At 40.4% G+C, this 12482-nt stretch overlaps 2 annotated features.

The window, feature by feature from the left end:
* Window positions 1620–2145: an enhancer, noted in NCBI's record as "H3K4me1 hESC enhancer chr11:25965255-25965780 (GRCh37/hg19 assembly coordinates)". NCBI's record gives its function as "activates a minimal SCP1, AML or CMV promoter by ChIP-STARR-seq in naive H9 embryonic stem cells {active_cell/tissue: H9 hESC(naive)}" and the evidence as "EXISTENCE:reporter gene assay evidence [ECO:0000049][PMID:30033119]".
* Window positions 2146–2669: an enhancer, noted in NCBI's record as "H3K4me1 hESC enhancer chr11:25965781-25966304 (GRCh37/hg19 assembly coordinates)". NCBI's record gives its function as "activates a minimal SCP1, AML or CMV promoter by ChIP-STARR-seq in naive H9 embryonic stem cells {active_cell/tissue: H9 hESC(naive)}" and the evidence as "EXISTENCE:reporter gene assay evidence [ECO:0000049][PMID:30033119]".

Here is a 12482-nt window from a genome sequence, read left to right on the forward strand (position 1 = left end):
GTATCCAATATTCTAAGCTATATTGAGTTCATTCTTTCTACGTCTTAAATTTCCTGGCTCTGCACATTTGCTCACACTGACAATGATGTGCTTATTTTTCAAAATACAAATCAAATGTGAAATCCTACTTGGTGACTTGATGACTTTGTATTTCTCTCCTCTTGGAAAGAAATCTACCAGCCTCTGAAACTGTGGAGCACTTATTTCGATTTCTTTTTAACTGTATTATGTTCTACCTTGCATTATCTGTGCACATGTTTAAATATCTAATAAAATAAAGGCAGTATTTCTTGGTAATTCTATTTTCCCCCATCCCCTTTGGCAACTAGAACAAGAAACAGTCTGAAATAATTAAATTGTTTTTATATCCTGTCATATATCTTTTAGCTGCAGCCTGATTTCTTTTCAAACAGCAACTTTCTTAGCACTCTTCCAAATTTGTCACCTGCATTAAAGACCTGGTTTTGAATTTATCCAATGTTCTTTCTCATAGCTAGGCAGGAAAGATCCAAAATATTCTGACAAAGTCCTTGAATTTAAAATTCATGTGTTCAATTTTTCAAAAACACCGGCTTGGCACGGTGGCTCATGCCTGTAATCCCAGCACTTTGTGAGGCCGAGGAGGGCAGATCACCTGAGGTCAGAAGTTTGAAACCAGCCTGGCCAACATGGCGAAAACTCGTCTTTACTAAAAATACAAAAATTAGCCAGGCATGGTGATGGGCGCTGTAATCCCACCTACTCCAGAGGCTGAGGCAGGAGAACAGCTTTAACCCAGGAGGCCGAGGTTGCAGTGAGCCAAGATCGCACCACTGCACTCCAGCCTGGGCAATAGAGTGAGACTTCTTCTCAACAAAAGAAAAAGAAATATGGTTCAAAAACACAGAGCAAAGTTTCATATTATAAAAAATTCTTTTTTCATTTCAAAGCATAACTTTCTCTTTCTTTAGTATAACATCTCTATATTGCTGGTTTTATTACTAGAGAGAATAATATAGAATCCCGTCCACGCTTTTTCATATTTTAACAGCTTTCTATGCCATAGCTGTGATAATGGGCAGGTTGCTGAGCCTGCTGGTCACCTACTTATCTCTCTAAGAGCTCACCTTCGCAAAGCTCTGAAAAAGCGGTTAGTGCTCTTCAGTGGAACCTCCGTAGTCATAACCAAAGAATATTTGCTTTTGCACACTTGGAAGGTGGAATGTTCAGATAATGGATATTTCGTACAAACAGGAAGTCTCATAGTGGCATTAACATTTTTAAAATACTTACATCTGTTTTTACATTGTGTTATTCAGTCCTTTATAAATGTGCCTTCCCTCTTGAGAGATACTTATTGGCCCTTGAATACACAATAGTTTTATTTAATGTTAGAACAGCTCAGAGGAGTGGGTAGCTCCCCTCTGTAGGCAGGTCGTCCTGTGGAGTTTTCAGCTCTCTGCAGAGAGGAGACCCTGGAGAGGAGAGCCCCTCTCTGCAGGGAGGTTGTGGGGACAGTTCTGCAGGTCTCTGAAGCTCTCAGTAGAGAGGATAGCTCCTTTCTTCTCACTGGTTGTCTCTGCAGCTCTAAGCAGAGAGGGTACTCCTCTCTGCAGCTGGTCTTCCATTCCCAGTGTCTCTCTGCCATCTTCCTCTTCTGGCTGTCCTCTGCCCTGATCTAGCTGAGCCCAGGGCTTTTATGGACCTCAGAGGGGAGGAAGCGCGTGCCCACTGGTCCATGGGCAGCCATGGGCAGGCTGAAAGAGGCACCAGGAGTCCCCACTCCAGTCTGCGGGACTGACAGGCCCACCCCCAGCCTTCAGGCCCTCCCTGGCCTGAGGGTGGGGCCTTACTGGGGACCCCGCCCACTTCCGTCCAGGACTCTGTCTGCCTCCTGCCGCCATTCATAGCCCCGGGGCTTGCCCCCAACCATGCTCAGACTTCAGAGTGGGCCCTGGGAGTAGAGAAAGGCCAGGCAGTGGGAGCAGACACACTTGAGCCTGCAGGGACCAGGGTACTTTCTGGGGAAACTGAGGGTACAGGCTGCAGAGACGACCCGGTCCTGTGCCTGGGAGGGCAGCGGCAGTTGCACCCCAGAGCTCCGGCCTTGCCAACACAGAAGAGGCAGGGCTCCTGTTTGTCACCACTCCTGCCTGCTTCCTGGAGTGGGAGGCCCAGGTCTGCAGACGCTGCCACAGCTGCAGACACAGACCTGCTCTACAGAGAAGGCAGGACCCCGCCCTCCAGCTGCAGCTGCACCAGGAGGGTAGATCCTGCCTGTTCCCGGCTCCTACAGGGAGGCTGGGATCCACTGCTGCAGTTTGGGCAGCTGTAGTCCCGCTCAGGAGGGCAGGAGTCCTGCCTGCTCTGAGGAGCAGGCGTGTGTCAGCAGCTGTGGTTTGGGCAGGGCTGCAGCAGCAGGGAGAGCTCCCTACCCAACTGAGAAGGAGCAGGGCTCTCACTGGCTCCATGGAGTGTGCAGTCCCAGCCATGCTTCCCTGCTGCAGCCAGAATGATAGCAGCAGCCACTGCCATCATTGACATGGACCTTCGCAATTCTGGGCACAGGAGATTTTCCCTACTCCCCCACCCCCCACACCCCGCCCCAGAGCTTCCAGACTGAAACATAGAGTGGCATGGATTCTGGTCAGAGCACCCACTTAGGCCTATGCAGAGCCTCATGGACCTTGGATCCCTGAGCACCTTGGCACCAGCAGCTGTAGCCCCATCCTATCCTGGGGGTGTGTGAGGCCATGCTTTCCCACATGCCCCCAGGATAGGGACCGCATCCACAGTGCTAAGGAGTGGATGGACGGCAGGACTCACCTCTGCTGCACCAGGCCAGACAAAGTCAACAGGTCTAGGACTCCAGGGCAGCCACTTATCCTGGGTCTGAGCACTCTAGCTGGTCACAACTCTACATTTCTCTGAGGCAGAGCTCCCAGAAGTAACAGGCTTGCAGCATTTCCCACTGCTGTGGCCCTTGCCCCTGCTGCTCTGAGGCAAGGGAGGGAGCCAAGAACCCAAGAACTGTTGTAGGCCTCCAGCACGTCACAGGTGCTGTATGGAAAGGCAGCCAGACTGTTTTCCACATGGGTTCTTGGCCCTACTACTCCTTACTGGGCAGGGCCTCCCAGCCTGGACCCCCAGCACAGCTGCCCTACCCCTGCCTGATCACTTCAGTTGATGGCCGCTTTGCATTTACCTGGGGTGGAGCTCCCAGAGACAATCAATAGGCCCTCCGGCATTGCCACCTCAGCAGTACCTACCCCTGCCTTCCACAGGCTAGGGAAGGAACAAAGACCTTGATTGCTTTTCTTGCACCTCTTGAAAAACACCACAGCCTCCCTAAGGAAAGGAGGCCAGACTGTCTTCACTGTGCTGCCCCTTCTCCCTCCCTGAACCTCCTCTGCTTTTCACCAGGCAGGGCCCTCTGGCTTGGGCTTCACCAGTACAGCTGCCACCACCCAGAGCTGATCATCCTGATTGCAGCAGCTCTGTGTTTCTCTGGCATGGCGCTCTCAGAGGCAACTGAGGACCCCTCAGCCACTGCCACTGCAGCAGTACCTGCCATTGCTGCCCACAAGATAGCCATTTTAAGAAACAACAAAACTTATCTTCTAGAGCTAAAAATCTACTACAGGAATTTCCTACTAAAATGAGAACTATTAACAGCAGAATATACCAAGCTGAGGAAAGAATCTCTGAGCTTGAATGCTGGTTCTTCAAATCAACTCAGTCAAACAAAAATAAAAGAGAGTTTTAAAAAATGAACAAAATTTCCAAGAGATATAGGATTATATAAAAATAACAAATCTGTGCCTCAGTAGCGTTACCTGAGAGAGAAGGAGAGAAAATAAACAACTTGGAATATATTTGAGAATATAGCTCATGAAAATTTCTCAAATCTTGCCAAAGAGCTTGAGATACAAATCCAAAAAATACAGAAAACCCCAGTGAAATACTGTACAAGACAACCATCCCCAAGGTACGTCCGCGCGCGCGCACGCACGCACACACACACACACACACACACACATACACAAACAACAACAACAAAAAAAAATCTCTTTTTTTTTCTTTTGAGACTGAGTCTCACTCTCTTGGCAGGCTGGAGTGCAGTGGCACGATCTTGGCTCACTGCAGCCTCTGCCTCCTGGATTCAAGCAATTCTCCTGCCTCAGGCTCCCAAGTAGCTGGGATGCATGCCACCACCCCTGACTAATTTTTGTATTTTTAGTAGAGATGGGGTTTCACCATGTTGGCCAGGATGATCTCGATCTCAACCTCATGATCCATCCGCCTCAGCCTCCCAAAATGCTGGGATTACAGGCATGAGACACTGAACCCACCCAAAAAAACTCTTAAAGGCATCTAGAGAGAAGGGTCAAGTCTCATACAGAGGGAATTTCATCAGGCTAGCAGGAGACCTCTCAGCAGAAATCTTACAAATCAGAAAAGATTGAGGGCATATTTTCAGCATTGTCAAATAAAAGACATTCCAAATAAGAATTTCATATTCTGAGAAACTAAGCTTTATAAGTGAAGGAGAAGTAAAATCCATCTCAGACAAGCAAACACTAAGGGAATGCATGTTAAGTAGACTACCTTACAAGAGGTCCTTAAGGGAGTGCTAAACATGGAACCAAAAGAATGACACCTGCTACCAAAAATATACTTAAGCACATAGCTCACAGACACTAAAAAGAAGTCACAAAATGAAGTTTATAGAAGAACCACCTAGTAACATGATAATAGGATCAAAATCTTATGTATCACTACTAACTCAGAATGCAAATGGGCTCAACATCCCACTTAAAAGAGACAAAGTGGCAAGCTGACAAAACCTAACCACATGCTGTCTTTAAGAGAGCCTTCTCACATGTAACAAAACAAACAGGCTCAAAGTAAAGGGATGGAGTAAGAGCTACCATGCAAATGGAAAACATAAAAGAGCAGGAGTTGCCATTCTTATATCAATGAAACAAATTTTAAACCAATAAAAATTAAGAAGGACGAAGAAAGACATTACATAATGATAAAGGGTTCAATCCAACAAGAGAACTTAAGAATCCTAAATATATATATGCCCAACATTTGAGTACCTAGATTCATAAAATAAGTTCTTGGCCTAAGAAAAGACTTAGAGAACCACACAATAATAGTGAGAGACTTCAACACCACACTGACATTGTTATACAGATTATCAAGGCATGAAACTAACAAAAAAATTCTGAACATAAACTCGAGACTTGACTAATTGAACCAAATAGACATAGACAGAACAGTCTACTGAGTAACCATAGGATATACATTCTTCTCATCTACATATGGAACATATTGTAAGATCAACCACATGCTTGGTCATAATGCAAATCTTAATAAATTAAAAAAATAAAATCATACTACAAACACACTCAGATCACAGTAAAATAAAAATAGAAATCACTATCAAGAAGATCTCTCAAAACTACACAAATTCATGAAAATTAAACAACTTTCTTCTGAGCAACTCAGGAGTGATAACTGAAATTAGGACAAAAATAAAAAATATTCTTTGAAATTAATGAAAATAGAGAAACAACCCACCAAAATCTCAAAGCAGTGTTATGAGGAAAGGTTATAGTGCTAAATGCCTTTCTCAAGAAATTAGAAAAATTTCAAATTAACCATCTAAAATTACACCTAAAGGAACTAGAATAATCAATAACAAATCATTTCTCAAGCCACCAGAAGAAAGGAAAAAACTAAAATTAGAGAACCTAATAAAATTGAGATATATCAATCCATACAAAATATCAATGAAACCAAGTGTTGGTTCTTTGAACAAACAAACAAGATTGACAGATCATTAGCTAGATTAACAAAGAAGAAAAAAGTGAAGATCCAAATGAGTACAAACAGAAATGTTAAAGATAACATTACAATTGATCCCACAGAAACACAAAAGATCCTCAGAGAATACCATAAACAATCCTATGCACACAAATTAGAAAGTCTAGAGGAAACAGATAAATTCTTGAAAAAACACAATCTCTCACGATTGAATCAGGAAGACATTGAAACCCTGGACAGACCAATATCAAGCTCTGAAATTTAATCAGTAATAAAACAAACACAAAAACAAAACAGAAAACAAACAAACAAACAAAAACCTGCTAACCAAAAGAAAGCCCTGGACCAGGGGCATTCACAGCTCAATTCTATCAGGCATAGAAATAAGAACTGGTACTAATCCTACTGAAGTTATTCCAAAAAATGGAGGTGGAGGGGCACCTCCCTAATTCATTGTTGGATGCTGGCATCATCCTGATACCAAAATCTGACAAAGACACACATACAAAAAAACTCCAGGCCAATACCTTTGATGAAGATAGACACAAAAATCCTCAACAAAATAGTAGCAAACTGAATCCAGCAGCACATGTAAAAGTTAGTACACCATGACCCAGTAGGCTTTATTCATCGGATGCAAAACTGGTTTAATATATGCAAATCAATAAATGTCCTTGAGCACATGAACAATTAAATACAAAAACTTATAATTATCTCACTCAATATAGAAAAAGCTTTTAATAAAATCCAACAGCCATAATTACAAAAACCCTCAATGAACTGGGCATCGAAGGACTATACCTCAAAGGAGGAAGAGTGATGTATGACAAACCCACAGCCAACTTCATACTGAATGAGAAAAAGCTGGAATTATTCCTGTTGAGAACTGAAACAAGACAAAGATTTCTGCTCTCACCACTCCTGTTCAACATATTACTGGAAGTCCTAGCCAGAGCAATCAGGCAAGAGAAAGAAATGAAAGGCATTCAAATGGAAAAAAGAAGTCAAACTCTCTCTTCACTGGCAATGTGATTCTACGCCTAGAAAAGTCTAAAGACTCCGCCAAAGGGCTACTAGAACTGATTAACATTTTTAGTAAATTTTCAGGATACAAAATCAATGTACAAAAATAAATGGCATTTCTATACATCAATAACAATGAGGCTGAGAGTCAAATCAACATCACAATCCCATTTACAATAGCCACAAAGGAAAGAAAATATCTGGGAATAGAGTTAACCCAGGAGGTGAAAGATCTCCACAAGGAGAACTACAAAACACTGCTAAGAGTAATCAGAGGTGACACAAACAAATGGAAAAACATCTCATGCTCGTGGATTAGAAGAATCAATATCATTAAAATGGTCATATTGCCCAAAACAATTTACAGATTCAATGCTATTCCTATCAAACCACCAATGCCATTCCTCACAGAACTAGAAAAAACTATTCTGAAATTCATGTGTAAACAAAAAAGAGCCTGAAGAGCCAAAGCAATTCTAATGCAAAAAGAACAAAGTCAGAGGCATCACACTATCCAACTTCAAACTAAACTATAAGGCTATAGTAACCAAAACAGCATGGTACTGATACAAAAACAGATACATAGACCAATGGAACAGAATATAAAACACAGCAATGAATCCTCACACTTATAACCATCTGATCTTCAACAAGGACAACAAAAATAAGCAACAGAGAAAGGATTCCCTATTTAATAAATGATGCTGTGGTAACTGGGTAGCTATATGCAAAATAATGAAACTGGATTTCTATCTTTCACCATATACAAAAATTAACTTAAGATAGATTCAATATTTAAATGTAAGATCTCAAACTATAAAAATCCCAGAAGAAACCTAGGAAACACCATTCTTGACATCAGCCTTGGGAAAGAATTGATGGTGAAATGCCCAAAGGTAATTTCAACAAAAACAAAAATTGACAACTGAAAACTAATTGAACTAAAGAGCTTCTGCATAGAAAAATAAACTGTCAACAGAGTAAACAGACAACTTACAGAATGGGAGAAAATATTTGCTATGAATCCGACAAAGGTCTAATGTCCAGAATGTATAAGGAATTAAGCAAATCAACAAGCAAGAAACAAACAATACCATTAAAATGGGCAAAGGACAGGAACAGACTCTTCTCAAGACATAGAAATGGCAAACAAACATGAAAAAATGCTCATCACTAATCATCAGAGAAATGCAAATCCAAACCACAATGAGTTACAATCTCACACCAGTCAGAGTGGCTAATAAAAGATCAAAAAACAACAGATGCTGGTGAGTCTTCAGAGAAAAGGGACCACTACACATTGTTGGTGGGAATGTAAATTCGTTCAGCCACTGTGGAAAGCAGTTTGCAGATTACTCCAAGAAGTAAAAGTAGATATACCATTTGACCCAGCTATCTCATTACTGGGTATATACCCAAAGGAAAATAGATCATTATACTAAAAAGACACAGAGTCATATGTTTATCTTTGCACTATTCATGATAGCAAAGACATGGAATAAACTCAGGTGCCCACCAATGGTGAACTGGCTTTAAAAAACTTGCTATATATACACCATGGAATACTATACAGCCATACAATGAAATCATGTCTTTTGCAGAAATATGGATGAAACTGGAGACCATAATCCTAAGCAAATTAACACAGGAACCGAAAACCCAACACCATGTGTTTCTACTTATAAGTAGGACTAAATATTGAGCACCCACAGGCATAAACATGGGAACAATAGATACTGAAAACTGCTAGAGGTTGGGGGGGAATGGGTTAAAAAACTACCTATTGGGTACATTGCTCACTACCTGAGAGCAATATACTTATGTAACAAACCTGCACATGTACCCCCTGCATCTAAAATAAAAGTTGAAAAAATTTTATTTTAATGAAAATAATACAAATAGATACGACAAATAGATTTTGTGGTTAATATAAAACAAAATTGTTACATTGCAAACAATAAAGAAATGAAAGTAAAATTTTATATATATCAGAGACATTGAACATTGTGCCATGAAATCTTTTATAAGTGTACATTTCATCCTGAGACTTGCACCACCTATAAGGATCTCCTCCAGAGAACACAAAATATTATTAAAAATGCATCTTTTAAGAATACTAATTATAAAATCATCATCATCATCATCATCATCATCATCATCAAAGAAATAATTCTCCAGCTTTGCCTAGGTAAGACTACATCATGATTAACAGATAATAATATCTCCAGTCTCTTGGTCTTATTATAAACATATTATGTTTCAAGCGATTGCAGCTTGAAACAAGCCATTGTGATTACTCAACATTGTTTGCTCTACTTCCGTGCTCATGAAGCCAAACATGTAAACAATGCAACAGGGACCCCCAACCCCTAGGCCATGGAAATGGTACTGGTCCATGGCCTGTTAGGAACCTGGCCTCACAGCACGAGGTGAGCTGTGGGAGAGTATAACTGCCTGAGCTTTGCCTCCTGTCAGATCAGCCATGGCATTAGATTCTCAAAGGGACGCAAACTCTATGGTGAACTATGCATGTGTGGAATCTAGGTTGCATACTCCTTATGAGAATCTAATGCCTGATGATCTGGGATGCAGCAGTTTCAGCCCGAAACCATCTCTCCTCCTGCTTTGTCTGTGGAAAAAATGTGTTCCAGGAAACCGGTCCCTGGTGCCAAAAAGGTTAAGAACCACTGCATACAGGTTTTCCTTCCACAAACGAATGTGCTAGTCTCATGGAATATTCTGGTGCATATACATTGAATATTCTGGTGTATAAACATATTTTCATGTTTAGATTAATAACATGATATTCTCCTTCAATTAGTGTTTTCATATTTTTTTCTTTTTTACTTTGGGAGATCATGGACAACCTAATATATTTTATACACACAACAATGTATTAGATGACCAGCAAATGCACCTACAAGAAAATGCATAAATAATTGGGGAGAACTTCAAGATCCCTCAGAAATGTATACAAAGATACTAATTTACAATAACTCCCAAAAAATTAGAGATTCCAAAAGAAAATTCCAGAATCATGTCTCTCCAGTAAATTTTATTTATTTATTTTAATGGAACACTGTAAAATTACTAACGTTCTTTTAGCCATGGCTAATCTCAAAATTCAAGACTTTAAGAAATAAAAGAGTGAAATGGGGGACACAAAAAAGATACGAGTTTAGATATTTCTGATTCTAGAGGTTTATTTCTCTCTAAAGAGAGAAAATAAACTATTTTTTAATACTAAGGTTTGTTTTCTACTTAAGCTGTAGCTCAACAGTGACGAATCTGAAAGACCAGCCATGTTACTGCTATTGTCTGTAAAATTGTTTTCTCTGCACTCCCCTTTCTTATTATCAAAGAATAATGATTGAAAAATCTGTACAAAATGGCATACAGGTCAGAGCCAAACCAAATCTCAAGTCTCAAATATTTAGCCTATACAGCCTTTTTTTCTGGGGACTCTGTTCAACTAGCTGCTTCTAAACTTTCTTTTAGCTTGCCCTTTGCTGGAGATTTACTCAGGAGCAGCTCATGGCACTAAGTGCAGGAGGCACTGGTTTGAGGCTCAGAGCCCCTGGATTTTAAAACTGGCACTGCCTGCTGGGCATGGTGGCTCAGGCCTGTAATCCCAGCACTTTGGGAGGCTGAGGTGAGCGGATCACCTGAGGTCGGGAGTTCCAGACCAGCCTGACCAACATGGAGAAACCCCGTCTCTACTTAAAAAATACAAAATTAGCCAGGCGTGGTGACACATGCCTGTATTCCCAGCTAGTTGGGAGGCTGGGGCAGGAGAATCACTTGAACCCAGGAGGCAGAGGTTGCAGTGAGCCAAGATCACGCCATTGCACTCCAGCATGGGCAACAAGAGCAAAACTCCATCTCAAAAAATTAAAAACAAAAAACAACAACAACAGAAACAAAACTGGCACTGCCAACAAACAATACACTGTGTGTACTCAGTCAATCCACTAACCCTGCCAATTCTCTGGATCTTCATTCATAGATAATTCTAGGTATTTTTAAGCATTTCAGAGGTTAAATAGGCCTCCCTCAGGTTTCCTCCTGATCTGTTAGTCTATGGCTTGCATAATCTTTGATTTGGCTTTTATCTATGGCATCAGTTCACTCACTCATCTACAGAGTGAAATATGTAAAGAAGGATGGCAGCAGGAATTTTCTTTCCCAGTGTACGGGTTCAAATGCTAATTCCTTTCAGAAACACTTTTACAGACACATCCGGAAGTAATGTTTTACCAGCTATCTGGCTATCCTTTAACCTAGTCAAGTTGACACAAAAATTAACCATAAAACTCACTTGCAATGCGTAAATCATTAATTAATCAAGATGTGCAGAGACAGAAGACACAATAAAGCACTACCTCTCACTAATATGTTTCCTAAAGTAACACACCCAAACTGCTTTGTGTGGAGTACACATATCAACACCACATCCACCACACACACAATATAATGCATTACTCTTTCTCTAAACTCATTCAAGTTTAACTTAGTCTTCAAGTCTTAGAAGGTGCTTATTATTTTCCCTTGTCTCATTCATCTTTCTGTTCTTTCAATCCTTTTGTAAGACTCCTGCTTTTGGATTCCCTCTTTGTATCTTTCCTCTGAATCAGAAAAATAATTGAACTGGAGGTGAAATGTATACTCAATCATCTTAGAAATTATCTGCAACAATTTTGGAGTCATTCTTTAATCAAAACAAAAGAACAAGCTAACCTCTGCGCTGGGTACAGCAAATGGAGGCCAGGGTGACAAAGTTATTATATGTGTATTCAGAGGCACTTGTGCTCAAACTATGCATAGTCTAACCACTATTTACATTAGAATAACACAGATTAAATATTGTAAAAGGGAGCATATTAGGATTGAAGGGAAGGAAATCATATCTATTTGGAAAAATAAAAAAAATAGAATGTGTAATTGTTTGAATATTTCTTTAAGGATAGAATAGATAGAAATTTGAATGATTACGGCAAAGATGGGGAAGGACATTTCGAGAAAAGATTACATGAACAATGACAGGGAAGTGGGAGTCATTGATGCAATGCAGGAACAGGAAGTCGGCCAGTTTAGTTAATTTACAGGGTAGGAGCAAGGTAATCATGGATGATAATGCTACAAAAGTAGGTAGGTGTTTGAGTTACAGCATTTGTACTTCAGCTGACTAATGCATGAGAGCCTTTGAGAAGTTTTAAAACAGATGTGTGCTGTTATTTGGCCTCTGTCAGCATGATGTAGCAGGGGTGCGCTGACTGAGAAAAGCGGTAAGGCACTACTAAAATGATCAGGTATGTGATAATCAAGGGCTAAACTAATTTGTCTATGATGGTGATATTTAAATCTACAGAAATTGGTTACTAATCTTACATTTGGAGAAAGTGTATACTGAATACTTTGGAGAATTCCACAGAAACACAGTAACCAGGAGAAAGAGAAGATATTGATTCAAGATGATGTTTTCAATTTAGATAAAGAGGATTTAAAGCTCTTGGAACTTCTACAGAGATGTATCAATGTAGAGCAATAAAAAAATAATAAAACATACATTAGCAAGAATCATAAACAGCCATTTATTCTAACTAACTCTATTGAACACCTACACATTTTTTTCTCATAGCCCCTAA

This window comes from Homo sapiens, chromosome 11, assembly GCF_000001405.40.
Source record: "Homo sapiens chromosome 11, GRCh38.p14 Primary Assembly".
Classification (NCBI taxonomy): domain Eukaryota; kingdom Metazoa; phylum Chordata; class Mammalia; order Primates; family Hominidae; genus Homo; species Homo sapiens.